The sequence below is a fragment of the Homo sapiens genome, chromosome 7 (assembly GCF_000001405.40).
Source record: "Homo sapiens chromosome 7, GRCh38.p14 Primary Assembly".
In the NCBI taxonomy this organism is placed as follows: domain Eukaryota; kingdom Metazoa; phylum Chordata; class Mammalia; order Primates; family Hominidae; genus Homo; species Homo sapiens.
In genome coordinates, this window is record NC_000007.14 from 138,895,404 (window position 1) to 138,911,992 (window position 16,589).

Below are 16,589 nucleotides of genomic sequence, written 5' to 3' on the forward strand. Positions count from 1 at the left end.
GAACAAAATGTAGTATAGCCATACAATGGAATATCATTCAGCTTTAAAAGGGAAGGAAATTCTATACATGCTGCTGCACAGATGAACCTTGAAAACATCATGATAATGGAACAAGCCAGTCACAAAAGGACAAAATGTATGATTCTACCTACATGAGGTATCTAGAAAAAAACTCATAGAAAGCTTCTGCTTGGAATGATGAAGAAATTCTGGAAATGGATAGTGGTGATGGTTACACAGCCTTGTGAACGTACTGAATGCCACTGAAGTATACATTTAAAAGTGTTAAATTGGTACATTTCTTGATGTATATTTTACTGCAATAAAAAAAGAAGGAAGATGATCCTTATGTTTTCCAAAATGAAGCTTCACTGTGTTAATTTGGAAACTGAAGTCCTAATAAGCGTCCCATAGGCACTGCCTTCATTGCCCCACCTGTGTCTCTCCCTAAACCTTTGAAACATGACTCATCGAAACGGCATTATTTAAGCTACCAGTTGTCCACTTTTACACGAAGCATATCTTACTCATTTTGGATCCACCACTCCCCACCCTGCTGCCACACCCACCCCACCCGGCCCCCACTTCTCTTTCACGGCATAGGACAGTTGCACTTCAACTCCTCGGCCACTTCATGTCCTTCACTAGCTCTTTGTTTTGCACATGGTGCCTTACTGCTCATTTAAAATGCTTCCTGTTATATAAATGGATAATCCGTGAAGTGCTACGCTTCTGCACTCATTCATCCGGTCTTGACGCCAAATCTTGTCTTTTCAAAAACATCTTAGTTTTCATGGGCAGGGACTAAGTCTTATGCTCCTTTCATACCCTATGATGGTTAACACCTGCTATGGGATCAAAAGGTATCTGCTCAAAGACGTAATAACAAAAAGGGTTCTTGGTGCTGGTTTAACTTTGGGTTTAGACACCTAAGGGAGTGGCAAGGGAGGGAGCAAGCATTCTAAATCAAATGCACCAGGGAAAAAAGCACAGATTAGAGCACAGGCTGCATGGGATGTGGTAAAAAGCAACAAAGTGAAAAACTTGTGTTTTTTAATTTGGGCTGAATATAGTTAATATATGTAGCTCATTTTGCATAAAAGCAACGGACAATATAGAAGTACGGACAGAATCAAACTGAGAAGCTGAGACAACTGGACACTCTTCTTAGTTCTTTTGTGGGTGTGGTTGTTTTTTTTTTTTCTTTTTGAGATAGGGTCTCACTCTATCACTCAGGCTAGAATGTGGTGGCACAATCAAGCTCACTTGCAGCCGCGACCTCCTGGGCTCAGGTGATCCTCCTGCCTCAGACCCCCCAAGTAACTGGGACCACAGGCATGCCCCACCATGCCCAGCTAGCTTATTATTATTATTATTTGTAGAGATGGGGTCTTGCTATGTTTCCCAGGCTGGTCTTGAACTCCTGAGCTCAACTGATCCTCCTGCCTCTATCTCCCAAAGTGCTGAGATTACAGGTGTGAGCCACCACACCTGCCCTCTTCTTACTCTAACCTAGGAAAACCCTGATGAGGCAGAGGTTGATCAAACTGGACCCTGACACCAGTGTCCTGGGGCTGCCTTTGGGCTATCCCTGGTGTTGGCTGAGGCTTCCTTCAATCGCCATCCCTGAGATCCCAGGATCTTTACCCACGTGGTTTTCGGTACAAAACTGAGGAAAAGAGGTGCAAGATCACATCTGAAAGGTGCCCATATTCTATTGCAATTAGCTGTTTAAAATGTCAAGTGCTTGGCTGGAGTAGGGCACGTCTCCTACAATCAGGAATCGCATATATGAAGAACTGTAACGAAGTGCTTTTGCTATTTTTTGCTCACTGCTTTGGAGGAGAACACATCAATATGTGATCATATCTCACATACACAAACACAAATTGCCAATGGTTATTTGCTTAAACCCTCCCATCATCTTCCATAAAATAGAGAAATTATGCCCATCAGCTCTCATCTTGGTTGGTCTCCAGGGACAAGTACAGATTTCATAAAAACCTTCTACTATCAAGGATAATTTAAAAGCTATCATTTTTTAAAAATTGTCTTTATCTCCTACATGTTCTCCATAAAGATTTTTCTGTATTCTCTGATGCTGAATTCCCTCTAAACATTTACCTCTCCTTTTATTGCTGGGAGCAAGTTTCACCATTCTCTTACCAAGACTGCTTGCAGGATCACAAAGGAAAAACACTGACATTAAAAGAGGTGTGGTGGCTCATGGTTGGGATTCCAACACCTTGGGAGGTCAAGGTGGGAGGATTGCTTGAGCCAGGGGTTCAAGACCAGCCTAGGCAACATGGCAAGACCCTGTCTCTACAGATAATAAGAAAAAATCGCTGGGTGTAGTGGTGGTGACTGTGGTCCTAGCTACTCAGGAGGCTGAGGCAGGAGGATCACCTGAGCCCAGGAGTTTGAGGCTGCAGTGAGCTACGATCAAGCCACTGCACTCCAGCCTGGGTGACAGAGCAAGACCCTTTCTCAAAAAAAAAAAAAAAAAAAAAAAAAAAAAAAGAGGAATCTGATTCACACCGTAAAGGACTATTTAGAAAAATACACTCTTCCATGTGCCTCCTTTTTCTTCAATTTTAAATACTCAAAATCTGTGAGGTGGGGCCGGGTGCAGTGGCTCACACCTGCAGTAATCCCAGCACTTTGGGAGGCCAAGGCAGGCAGATCACAAGGTCAAGAGATCGAGACCATCCGGGCCAACATGGTGAAACCCCGTCTCCACTAATAATACAAAAATTAGCTGGGCATGGTGGTGTGCTCCTGTAGTCCCAGCTACTTGGGAGGCTGAGGCAGGAGAATCACTTGAACCCGGGAGGCAGAGGTTGCAGTGAGCCGAGATCACACCACTGCACTCCAGCCTGGTGACAGAGTGAGACTCCATCTCAAAAAAAAAAAAAAAAAAGCAAACAAATCTGTGAGGTGGAAAGGAAACTACTGACAGCAGCCAGGGCCAGGCAGGCAGGAGTGAAACCTTCCAACAATAATAAAGAAACTTCAAAATACCTCTGTCTACACTGTGGAGTGACGTGAGGATAGGTGGGAGAGAAACAGGACTGAAAAGGGGAAGGATCAAGGACTTCTCTGTGTTAAAAGACCCTGAAGGAAACCAATAAATTCAGGGTGCACCTCCCAGCTTCCTGCATGACTCACTGTCCCCGCCAATGTTCAAAATATGACACAGAAGATTTTGGAATAAATACAGAGCAAACACATTATTTTGCCTTAGACAAAATTTATAAAAAAAGTAGTAGTACAGGAATGAGGGACAGATATTAAAGTTGATGTACTATAAATCATTATTAACACCCCACCTACAAAATGCTAGGTAGAAAAAACAGCAGTGGAGGCTAAACCTACAAGCAATTGAAATCCAAATAAAGAAGGTCTTGGTGAATGAATTTTAACAACTGGCACTTCACCATCAGGGTTATACACACATCGGAATGCTTTACATTCAGAGCTCACTGTCAGAACGAGCCTGGCTTTGGTGCCCAGCACAGCACAGCACAGACGACAACACCTCAGGCACTTACGCTGGGCAATGACACCTTGAATTCGGTAACCCAAGATGATGGCTGCTCTCTGGAGGTCCATTTTGTTAATCAGGTCCGAAGACTTGACTGCACTGAGTCTTTCTCCATCTTGATCCTCCACAAAGTAGATGAGCTGTACCGGATTGTCATCTCCCTCCAGCCTCGACACATTTACCACCTGAAAGATAGCAGAAACCATTCACATTGCAGAAGCTCATGTTTCTAGATGCCCTCTCTCAGGTTGCTGAATCCTGGCTGTGTCACTCAGGATTTATTCCAATCCTCATAATAAGCTCCGTAAGCCATTCAGGGGCCCAGAATCACCATGGTGCTCTCTGTTGATGGGAAGAGGGACAGTGGGGAGTTCCTTTGTGTGGAGTAACAGGTTGCTTCATCTCGCTCTACATCTTTTCTGGGGCCAAGGGGCAGGGAGGCTGCACAGAACCAGGGCTGGCGAGTCCAGGTGGTCTAAAATCATCCCCACAATCTCTGATGTGCTGACCACGTCATAAGAGAGCATCATCCTCCCAACATTAACTGTAGGATTAGGTACATCCCTGGTTCTCTGAAACTATTAATGGTTCTACCCAATCCTTTCTTCAGCCTATTGGTATTTCCTCCTCATTCTGCTAGGGCAGGGCTTCTCAACCTCAGCTCTACTGACAATCCCTTGACATGGGGTGCACTGTAGATGGTTAGTAGTATCCCTGCCCTCTACCCACCAGGTACCCCCATCCTGCACCACCCAAGTTACAACCAAAAACATCCCCAGACACTGCCAGATGCACCCTGGAGGACAAAATCACCCCCACCCACCACAGGTCTATGGACAATAAACCTCATAAATTCATAATCTTGTGGGTCAAATAATACTTTGATTCATCCCAAAACTTCTCTCTTTCTGGTGTTAAAAGACAGTTTTTTATGCCCTTATTTCAAAATCTAGCACACTTGACATATCGTACCTTTTCATTTCACTCTATTTCTCTAATAATATGCAACAATGTGATTACCCCTTTAGACTCCAGCAAAACTCTGAGCTTCTGTCCTGAGAAAAGGATCAGCGAGGGCTCCGAGCTCCTTATTTTACATGTGCCATTTAAATTGCTGGTCTCTACATTTGCCATTGGCAACATGCAGCTGCTACTTCTCTGTCCACACGTATGGGTTTGTAACACTGCCCTGTGCTCTGGACACAGCTGCTGGACCCCTCCTTCACCACGGGAAACTTCTGGCAGATCAGCAATTTCACGATTTCACTGTGAACTCCTTCTTCCAGATCGTGTCTAAAGATCCTTAACAACACACGTCCAAACCCTCTTCCCTCAACAATCTGTTCTTTATGCTTCGTCCTGAGAACTCCCTCCCTGACAACGGTACAGTGGTGATTAATTTTTTATTAGCTTTTAGAATGGAATGCTATGCAAGGGCTACTGAAAAGGAAGTAGATTATATCCATCTGTCTCTCTACCCATGTACCTACTTATTCCATTTTAAAAGTTCTAATAAATTTAAAAAGTATAGTTTCTTCTTCTAGAAATCACAGTCCCCAAAATCCAGTGATACCCACCTTGATTAAAGATTCTACAAGTCTGTCTAGTGCTACAGTTTGGATGTTGGACCCCCTCCAACTCTCTGGTTGAAATGTGATCCCCGATGGTGGTGGGGGAGCCTAATGGGAGGTATCTGAGTCATGGAGCAGATCCCTCATGAATGGTTTGGTGCTGTCCTCGAGGTAATGAGTTCTTGCTCTACTAGTTCCTGAGAGAGCTGGTGTTAGAAAGGGCCTGGCACCTCCCTTCCCTCTCTCTCGCTTCCTCTCTCGCCATGTGATTTTTATACTGGCTTCCCTTCGCCTTCCAGCAAGAGGGGAAGCAGCCTGCGGCCCTCGCCATGACACCAGCACCATGCTTTTTGTATAGCCTGAAGAACCATGAGCCAAATAAACCTCTTTTCTTTACAAACCCAGCCTCAGGTATTCCTTTACGGCAACATCAATGGACTAAGATGTCCAGGCAGAATGTAAGCCAAGAAAATCTAATCCCAGTATCCTTTCTAGACTACTGCCTATGAGATTCCTATCTGGAACCCTTATAACCATGGGAGTCATCATCACTTTGGTTAACATTTTCAATTTCAAAATTTATTTTCTGAGCAAAATCACATCTCTCTAGAAATTACACAGCCAATTAAAGTTGAAAAACACATGCAAAAAATATATATAAAGAAAATGAAAATCACCTAAAATTCAACCAACCAAAGAAAATCACTGTAAACATTTTAGCATTTTCCTTCTATTCTTTCTCCATGAATTCTGTATTAACATTTGGATTACATGGCATACATACTTTTGTAGCCTCTCTTGAGTTTTATTTTTTTTTTTTTTTTTGAGACAGAGTCTCACTCTGTCCCCGAGGCTGGAGTGCATTGGTGTGATCTTAGCTCACTGAAACCTCCACCTCCCGGGTTCAAGTGATTCTCATGCCTCAGCCTCCTGAAGAGGTGGGATTACAGGCACACACCACCATGCCCAGATAATTTTTGTGTTTTTAGTAGAGATGAGGTTTCACCATGTTGGCCAGGCTGGTCTTGAACTCCTGGCCTCAAGTGATCCACCTGCTCGGCCTCCCAAAGTGCTGGGATTAGAGGTGTGAGCCACTGCACCCAGCCCACTTGAGCATTTTTCTATACCACTCACTAATTTTTTTTTAAATGACTGCATAAAATTCCAACACATAAAGATTTACTATAATTTTATTTACCCATTCCCCAATTGCTGGACATGTAGTTGTTTCAACATTTTCACTTTTACAAATTAAGTTTTGATAAACAGCCATGTAACACTGTACACAAATCCTTGTCTACATCTTCATGTTTGGTCACTCTAAGGGGAGGAGAAGCAGAGCATGGCTTATAAGCAATCTATCAGATGGCACATTAGCCTGGATGTGCCACTTTTACAAACCTGCATGCCTACTAAGAGAGCTTGCATGTCAAATTTAGCACTGTATTATACTTTCACGGTGTCCTATAACTATTTCATGTGCAGAAGTTAACTCACACCTAGACCTTGGGCTCTAGGAAGCCAGGGATTGTTGAATAAGGCAAAGCTTTTATAATTCATTCTAATTTTTATTCTTTGTTGATACTTATTCGTTTAATGATTACTCTCAATTGTGATTAGTTTTTAAATTTCTCTGTAACTTACTGCATCTGGCAAAGGAACTATTTTAGAAACCTAAGGACTACATTTCTGGGAGGGGGACAAAGGGTAATGATGAGAGGGACACACTGGTAAAAGGGCTAGAGGACGATGATGCAGTTCTAGGCAACACTTCCCGGCTCCTGCCCCCAACCCACAGCCAATGTCATTTGCGTCTTTTTCTCTAATGCCTCTAATCCACCCACCTCCCTACCCTGCCTGCCAGCCAACACCCCCTGCTTCAGAGTTCTACCCTGGTTTCCTGTTTCTGAAATGTCATAGCTCTAAATATCCCATTTTCATAGTTCAACAAGTCAGCAGTTGGTAAAGAAAAAAATCCACATAATTCATATGGAGATGGAAATTAATGACAGCCCCAACCTCCAACTTTCTGTGAGTATGGGCATTTTTAAATGGGTCGCATTTCAATTCAAACAAATCTGTCTTTTGTAACCTGTCTGCCAGTTTACCAAGTAAAGAAGATTTAGGATAATATGAGACAACCAGGTGTCTCCGGTGGCGGGTACCTGTAGTACCAGCTACTCAGGAGGCTGAGGCAAAAGAGTCGCTTGCACCTGGGAGGCAGATGTTGTAGTGAGCTGAGATCATGCCACTGCAGTCCAGCCTGGGCGACAGAGCGAGACTCTGTCTCAAGAAAAAAGAAAGAAAGAAAAAAGCTCAAGTGAAGAGAGGCTACAAAAGGATGTATGCAGTGTCATCCAAAGGTTAATAGAGAATTCATGGGGAAAAAAGAATGGAAGGAAATATGCTGAAATGTTTACAGTGATCTTCTTTGGTTGGTTGAATTTTAGGTGATGTTCACTTTATTCTTTACACATTTTTTAATGTGTTTTTCAAAATTTCTCTAATTGGCTATGTAATTTCTAGAGAGAGGCGATTTTGCTCAGAAAATAAATTTTAAAATGAAATTGAAAATGTTAACCAAAGTGATGACTCCATAATACCATGGAAGCCGAGAAGATGAAATGCTCAAGCAGAGGGCAGCACGTCTCCCTCTATCTGCTCTCCTATGGTCTCTTCCAGTTGAATGATTTATCGCTATGATGCTATCAATAACACTGACCATTCTATCAAACAGGCTACATTTTTGTTAATTAAAAACTACTATTTGATAAATGAGGTCCTGTGATGATATGGCAACCCAGTAAGACAATTCTGCTCTGCTCTGCAAGGTCTATTGTTATACTACTACTTACTATGGGCTTGGTAAATATTTGTCTAGACTCCAGTTGAACTGAAAAGCTGCCAGATTCAGTGGCTACCCAATATAGCGATCAGTGGAAATCAGAAATTTCTCATGGCACTTCTCATTTGCATAAAAATACAGGGTTTTAGATGGAGTGTGCACTCACACGCAAGCGCTGTCTCTCTCCCTCTCTCTCCTTCCCCTCCTCCTTTGATGTGGAGTACCTGCACCACACTGTTCCCTGCAGCTACAGTGGCCCTTCTCCACATCCGCCTTCTGGTGGAAACCTCGCTGAGCAGCTGGGCCAGCTTGCGTTCCATCTCGGCTTGAAACACTTCATTCTGGAGTTGCTTCTCCATGACGCCCAGGAGAACTACATTTAAATGAAAACATACGTGGCACCCAAAACAAGTCAGCAGTAAAAAAACAGTGTGTGTGTGTGTGTGTGTGTGTGTGTGTGTGTGTGTGTGTGTGTGTGTGTGTGTGTGTGCGCGCGCGCGCGCGCGCACATATGTATTTGAAATTAATGCAAGATTGCCATAAAATGCCAATTCCTAGACAGAAAACATCAAAAGGAGAAAAAGTGATCATGAATGGGGAGAGTCCAGGAAATGCAGCCCACAAGAGCTCCAAGCTCTCAGTGTTACCCAGACTGGCGGCCAGAAGTCCCAGGAACTCAGCACTGCAGGAGCTTTGGCGCAAAGGGCGCCTACGCAAGATCAAACATTTTGTCTGCACTTATCTCAACACTTCTGGAATTGGTGTGAGTTCATTGTCTTGCCTTGAGACTTGGACTCACAAACTAACTTGAAAAAAGGAAGCCTGCCCATCTTTAGTTATCTATTTCAGACAAGATGATCTCAACAGACAATCACTTGCCAGTGTGGTCTGGGAGGAAGGAGCATGTGCTTTTCAACCAGAACTGGTTTAAGTTTTCTTTGAGATACAACCATGGGCAAGTTACTTAATTGCTATAGAAATTATCTGGAAAAGACCGCGGATGGCACCATGCAAAGCGATAGGACCTTGACGTGGGATGCTGTGTGTTCGGCAAGGAGAACTTGCAAGATGCAGGAACCCCGTGAATGGCAACTATCACTACCCCACATGCTCTCTCGTGCCCAGCTAGTTCCTGTGCTGCATGCACACTGGACAGCTGGTGAGTACGTAAGTACTGTTCAGACTTTTGTGCACTAGGTTAGAAAGGCCTTCAACTGCAATGCCATACCTCTAAATATCTGACCCACTCCCCTAAGACAAAAAAAAAAAAAAAAAAAGCTTCCCAGGTGCCAAGCCACCCTGCTTGTCCTTATTAAACTAAACAAATAACACTTTTAGAAAAAAAAAAATAAAACAAGAGAGAGATCCTTGCTTCTAAACCTCACCCTATTCTGGGTCAGAAGATTGTCAGTTCCTGTTAGACTCTGCCCTGAACTTGATGTATGAATTTTAAAGAAAGTCAGTCCTTTTTGTTCTATAACTCAGTGGGATATATTCCCACAGCCAAATTTGAATCCCTTTCCATTCATTCTTTGCCAAGAATGTAAGGTACATTTTGCCCTAAATTTAGGAAACAAGAAAGGCAGCATCATTCTCAATACGCCTGCATAGACTTCTTCTCCTTACAGTTCCCAAAATATTACATAAGTTAAACATACCTGTTCTGACCCAAGAGGACTTCAGCAACTGAGATAAGTTGAGCTGTGGATACTGGAAGGCTACAAAAGGGAAAGAATTAGGGAAGGAGAAAAATATCTGTAAAAACAAAGCCATGTTTACAACAAAGTCCCAACACATCGTCTTTACTATTTAGCTCTAAATGTGAAAGAACAAAATGTCAGATTAGCGTGAGGACGTGGACAGTAGCCATTTCTGAACACATTAGTCTCAAGGAAAAAGAGAGAGATAAAAAGAAAAGAAGGGCCGCTCCAGCTATGTCACAGGACACTGCTTCACAGAGAGGTCACCGGCAAGTTCTCCTTTGAATGTCACTGTTCCACAGCAATCCATGTTCACACCGTGCCCCTCAGAGCCCTGGCTTTCCCAGCAAGGTCTCAGGGTAAAGTGACCACATGCGTTGACCTGCCCAGGACCAGCCAGTGTGCCCCGCCGTCCGGCATCCTCATTTTAGCCATACACACACTGAGCACAACTGAAAGCGGCTCTTTGTAAATAACAGCTTTATCTCTGTCTACTTTCATATAGAATAACTTCTGTAAAGTTATTCTTTTTAGTTTAATTAACAATACACTAAAATACACTACGAATCATTAGGCCATTTGGTTGTTTCATTTTGAAAAAGAATTGGAATTTTTTGGCCTGATTTCAACTCTGGAATCTACTATTTTTTTTTTTTAAATAAACGTCTCCCCTTTCCCCCACTGCCTCCATTGGCATTGTGAAGCTAGTTGCTTCAGTCAGGAAGAAAGGTTTCATGTTTTCACTTATTGTTTTTATTTTAAAATTTACACAGTAAATGTCACTCTTTTCAGTATACAGTTTTATGGGTTTTGATAAATGTGTATATATTCACATAATCATCACCACAATGAAGATATAGAACAGTTTCACAACCCCCAAAACACTGCCTTCTGCTACCCTTTTGTAGTCAAACTTTCCTGCGGCCCTTAAGCTCTGACAACCACAGATTCGTCCTCCCTAAATTATGCCTTTTCCAGAATTCGTGTACTTTTTGATAGCACCCCTTTACTCTCCAAATAATAAAGTCAGGCACGGTGGGTGAGCAGGGCTCTGCAGACCCATCTGGCCTGAATCCAGTTTTATCAGATTTATATTCTGGCACTCAAATCAGATATTTCATTTGAAAAAAGTGGTCCAGGTGAAAATACTCTGTATGATACTAAAATGGAGAATCCATGCCATTTGCATGTCATTACACATTTGTTCAAACCCACAGAATGCACGACACCCAGGGTGAACCTTAATGTAAACTATGGGCTATGGATGATGATGCAGGTTCAACCAATGATGCAGGATCAACCAATGCAGGTTGATCACTGTAACAAATGGGCCACTGTGCTGGGGGATGCTGATAATGGAGGTTATGAATGTGCGGAAGCAGGAGGTATATGGGAAATCTGTGAACTCTCCGATCATATCTGCTGTGAATCCAAAAACTTCACTAAAAAAACTCAAGTCTTTTACTATTATTCTAAGTGAAATAATTCAGGAATGGAAAACCAAACATCGTATGTTCTCACTGATATGTGGGAGCTAAGCTATGAGGACACAAAGGCATAAGAATGATACAATGGACTTTGGAGACTTGGGGGGAAGAGTGGCGGGAGGAGGGATAAAAGACTACAAATGTGGAGCAGTGTATACTGCTCGGGTGATGGGTGCACCAGGATCTCAAAAATCACCACTAAATAACTTACTCGTGCAACCAAATACCACCTGTACCCCAACGCCTTATGGAAAAATAATTTTTAAAAAATCAAGTCTTTTAAAAAACTAAAAAAATTTTAAGAAGAGGTCTTCCACCAAAAATGCCCGCCATCACCTCCCCAGCATGTCCAAGAGGGCTGTACTCACGCTCTGCGATCTGCAGCACTGGGTATCCCAGATAGAAACTGAACTCCACCACACTCAAGTTTCTGAGCAGCTCGCTCACTTCCGACCCATTCAAAAATCCCTGTGTGCTTTTAACCGCAAAGATGATATTCACCGGGCCCCGCCGAGGAGTCACCCTTGAGGAACTGATGGTGATATTCAAGATCTGAAAGAATAAAGTCAGAATAAGCTTCTATAATAAAACATTCTGCTGAAAGCTTAACCATGATTTCTCTCTCACAGGTCCTCTCACCGATTTTTTTAAAGGAGGTAAAGTTTTTAAAGGAAACGTAACTGGCTTTCTAACCTGGTTCCCTTTTGTAAGAGTTTAACTGCTCAGTTTATGGAAAATGTTTCTTACATTAAGTGATGAACTGAGCACATGTACAGCTCCTCCCACCCCAAATGCCACTGAAATAACAATAAGCTGAACACAGGGGAATAAATCCACAACAGCACTGAGAATGGAAGAAAACTAGAGATTCCGTCAAACCTCTGGGGGATGAAGAAAGGATGGGATTGGATTGATATAAACCAGAACAGAGAAAGCCAGAATCCAAAACATACACAAGCATGGGCTGCAGCAGAGCCAAGGGCCACGCTCTCCAAGAGGACCAGGAGGGGCTCTGTGGCAGAGATCAGCAGGAATGAGACCAAGAGCAGGCTACACAGTGGTAATCAGTATAATTAATTACAAGGCTGTGCCAAAGAGCTGAGTGTATTGCCTTCCTCCTCCGTCCTTCCTAACTGCCACACCCAGGCCAACAGAGGTGCTAGCAGCAGCCAGGCCCTCACCCAGAACAAGACTGCCTCCTGAGGAAAACAAACTCCTGCCTAAGAGGACTATGGTGGGTCTGGGCCCTAACCAAGAAGGTGGGCAGAGGCTAAGATAACTCCTGTGCACACCGAAGAAGGAAAGAAAATGAATGAAAACGCAGCTAGCTCTGCCCTGAGACACACACTAAAGTGCCCCATCCCCTAGGAAGAACCTCTTTATCTAGATGCTGGAAGGAGGGTGTTCCCTGTCTGCTTGTCTCTGACCACACACTGCACCCAGAGAGAAGCCCACGCTGACATATTCTGCCCCAGACCCAGCGCTCCGACGAATTTTCCCACCAGGAGATGGAGCTGACGTAGAAAGAGATCCCCACAGCTCAAGGGGAAAGCTGTGCCAGCTACTAAAATGAACAACTTGGTTCTTCATTCCTAACAACAAACCAACAGTCTCCAGATTTACAGAAACTAACAGCACGAAAGCAAAGCACCGAGATCAACATGCAGAGCAAGGACTGCAGAGAAAACAGGAATGACTTAGGAAACAGAAGACGCATTTTAACAATTCTAATTAACGTCCTCAGAGACTTTTAAGGTGACACTGCATCATCGCAGGAAAGCCTACAATGAAAATGGAGCAAAGAACAATGAACAAAAAGCTTAAAAATTCAGTAGAGGGATTGCATAACATAATGGACACAGCTAAGGACTAAATTCATGACTTGGAGGACGACATTTAGTAAATCTGTAAAAACAGAGAATAAAGAGATGGAAAATATGAGGAAAAAATAAGAAACATGGAAAGTGGATCCAGGAGCACCAAAATCTATTTTAACATCCATTTTGGAAAGAGAGAGGAAAGAATGTAGAGGGAAAAAAATCAAAGAAACATAAAAACATCAGCAGTTTCCATATGATACGTACAACACCCGTTCTTAGTAGCTATATGGAAACAACAGTATGGGTAGGCATTCCCCCATTGGATATTTAGGTTGATACCATTCCTTTCTAGGTAATTCTTGAATTTCCTGAATATGGTCATGTTTCTTCAGCTCACCATATCTGAGCTCCCTGGGTATCAGCTACTCTGCAACCCTCAAAGATGCTCAGCCTGTGCACGCTATGCCGACCTTACGCCACAGGAATAGATCAATCCCGACTCACATAAACTGGGTTTCCGCCACTGGAGGGAATAAGAGTTAAGCACATCTTAAACAATGTGGAACAATTTCCCCTTCAAGGGCTAAAGCCTTCTGCTCTGCATTCAGTGATATTCTCACCTGCACCGTGAGGTTATACGTTCCCTGGTGGTGTTTTCTCACTTCAAAGAGAGCTGTCATTAGGCCTTTCTCAATGCGCTGGGTGAAGTTGCAGAAGCCAGTATCCACACTCGGAGGCACAAACTGAAGTACTGAAAAGAAAAGCAATCAAAGTCCCATAAATGAGGTGTTTGTGCTTCTGAAGTATTAAGGAATCAAGAGAGAGAAACATCGTATCTAAATCAACCAATTCATCCATAGTATGGGATTAAGTACTGTGATGTAACATTTCTACGTATTTTCTCACGGAAATGTAAAAGGTAACTTTGCAGTAAATGAAGACATGCAATGTGACGGTGACTGGTATCATTTTAAAATGAAAAATATCTAAGATAAGAATTTGAGTATCAAAAGACACAATGGATGGAAACATTTCAAACATATATAAATTCATTGTAGATGAATTCTTGAATATTTATGGGTGAAATGACATGATACCTGGCATTGCTTGAAAACACTCTAGTGTCCACAAAAACGTTCACAGGGGATAGATGAAACAAAATTGGTGATGTTGATAAATTTTTTTTAAGCTTAACCATGGGTATATGTAGACTTAGTACTCTCTCTACTTTTGTAAATGTTTGAACATGTCCACAATGAAAAGTTAAATATGATATTTAGAAATTACTGTTAACAGCCAGGTACAGCGGCTCACGCCTGTAATTCCAGCACTTTGGGAGGCTGAGGCGGGCAGATCATTTGAGATCAGGAGTTCGAAACCAGCCTGGCCAACATGGTGAAACCCCATCTCTACTAAAAATACAAAAATTAGCCGGACATGGTGGTGGGTGCTTGTAATCCCAGCCACTCAGGAGGCTCAGGCAAGAGAATTGCCTGAGCCCGGGAGGCAAAGGTTGCAGTGAGCAGAGATCGCGCCATTGCACTCTAGCCTGAGCAACAAAGCAAGACTCCAGCTCCAAAAAAAAGAAAAGAAAAGAAATCACTGTTAACTTCATATACATGTTTAAAGTCTTTATCTTTTAGAGGCTATATAGGCTGAAATATGTGTGGGCGAGATGATACGATGCCTGAGATTTACTTTAAAATAGTACAAGAGGAGGGGAAGTAGATAGTAGATGGGGGTGTGGCTATAACAAGACTGGCTAGGAACGGAAAAGTGGTTGAAGACATATGAGTACACAGTGGTCTGTTAAACTATTCTACGTACTTTTGTACATGCTTGAAATTTCCCATAATTATAAACACTTTTAAAAGTTAAATAATAAGGTCAGGTGTGGTAGCTCACACCCGTAATCCCAGCACTTTGGGAGGCCAAGACAGGAGGATCGCTTGAGCCCAGGAGTTCAACACCAGTCTGGGCAACTTAGGAAGACCCCATCTCTACAAAACATAATGTTTCTTAAATTCTTTTTTTTTTTTTTTTTTGAGATAGGGTCTCACTCTGTTGTCCAAGCTGGAGTGCAGTGGCACGATCTCGTCTCACTGCAGTCTCCACCTCCTGGGTTCAAGTGATTCTCCTGCCCCAGCCACCCAAGTCACTGGGATTACAGGCGTATGCCACCATATCTGGCTAATTTTTGTATTTTTAGTAGAGATGAGGTTTCGCCATGTTGCCCAGGCTCATCTCAAACTCCAGAGCTCAAGTGATCTGCTCGCCTCAGCCTCTCAAAGTGCTGAGATTACAGGCATGAGCCATCGCACTTGGTCTAATTTTTTTTTTTTTTTTTTTTGTAGAGACAGGGTTTCATCATGCTGCCCTGGCTGGTCTCAAACTCATGAACTCAAGTGATCCATCTGCCTCAGCCTCCCAACCTCCTCTGCCTCAGCTCCCACCTGGTGGGACTACAGGTGTGAGCCACCATACCTGGCCTAAAAAAAAATTAAAAAAAAAATTAGCCACGCATGGTGGTATACACTTTTAGTCCTAACTACTCAGGAGGCTGAGGCAGGAGGATTGTTCGAGCTCAGGGGTTCAAGGCTACAGTGAGCTATAATCACACCACTGCATTCCAGCCTGGGCAACAGACTGAGATCCTGTCTCTAAAAATCATCATCATAATAATAAATTCTAAAAATGATTTCCAATATTTTAGAAAGATAAAAAAAAAATGAAATTCTTTTTACAAATAAAAACAACTATGCTGAGCTGTCTCACCTGTTTGAACTTGGAACCTGGACTCTGGCACAAGGAAAGAAGGTTTCACAGACAGGATTAAAGGAGTCTGGTCACGGACAAGCTTACTGTTTATAAGCACATTTATGACGGATATTGCCGTGTAAACGAAAGGACCGGATGTTACCAGAAAAGTGAAGTCAGTAAATAGTTCGTAAACCTAGGGAAATAAGAAATACAAAGACAATTCAAACTTAAAGGAAGTTGTGTTACACAGAAAAATAAAAAATTATAAACTAAAAAAACTGGTAGTTTTGAATGAAGGGGTAGTGCATCACGGATAATCAAAATTTTATTTTAGTTACTGCTTTTACTCTCTGCCAACCTTTGCAAAAACAACACAAAATTATAAGAGCAGCAAGAAAGAACAGTCAGAAATATGAACTGAATAATGAGTTATAGGGCATTCAAGCTGTTTGTTGTATTTAAAACACATAGACAAGAGTACTTATCCTATTGAGCAGCACTGTCCAAAATAAATATGCAATTTAAAAATTTCTAGTGGCCACATTAAAAAACATAAGAACAGGTGAAATTAATTTTAAATACATTTTATTTAATATATCTAAAATATCATTTCAACATGAAGTCAATACAAAACACTATTAATGAGATATTCTACCCTCCTTTTTTCACTGCATTTTTCAAGTCTGGTATGTATTTTCCACCCACAGCCCATCTCCGTTTGGACGAGCCCCATTTCACTGCTGTATCGCCATGCGTGGGGCGCGGTTCTGGTTCCGGATGGCTCTGCTCTAGATGGACTGTGGCTTTCTAGGATCATTCAGTCTAAAAGATTTGGATCTCCATCTCTATCCTACCAAATGTC

General features: G+C 42.4%; 1 protein-coding gene across 2 annotated transcripts in view; it reads right to left on the reverse strand.

The window, feature by feature from the left end:
- The window catches only part of KIAA1549, a 150,009-nt gene that overhangs the window by 64,023 nt on the left and 69,397 nt on the right, over positions 1–16,589 (reverse strand). For both annotated transcript variants that reach the window (NM_020910.3, NM_001164665.2), the window contains exons 4-9: positions 15,743–15,920; positions 13,588–13,718; positions 11,516–11,699; positions 9,619–9,678; positions 8,185–8,333; positions 3,552–3,729 (exon numbers count right to left, since the gene is read on the reverse strand). In NM_020910.3, the coding sequence (NP_065961.2) occupies positions 3,552–3,729; positions 8,185–8,333; positions 9,619–9,678; positions 11,516–11,699; positions 13,588–13,718; positions 15,743–15,920 (880 nt within the window). The remainder of the gene's footprint in view (positions 1–3,551; positions 3,730–8,184; positions 8,334–9,618; positions 9,679–11,515; positions 11,700–13,587; positions 13,719–15,742; positions 15,921–16,589) is intronic.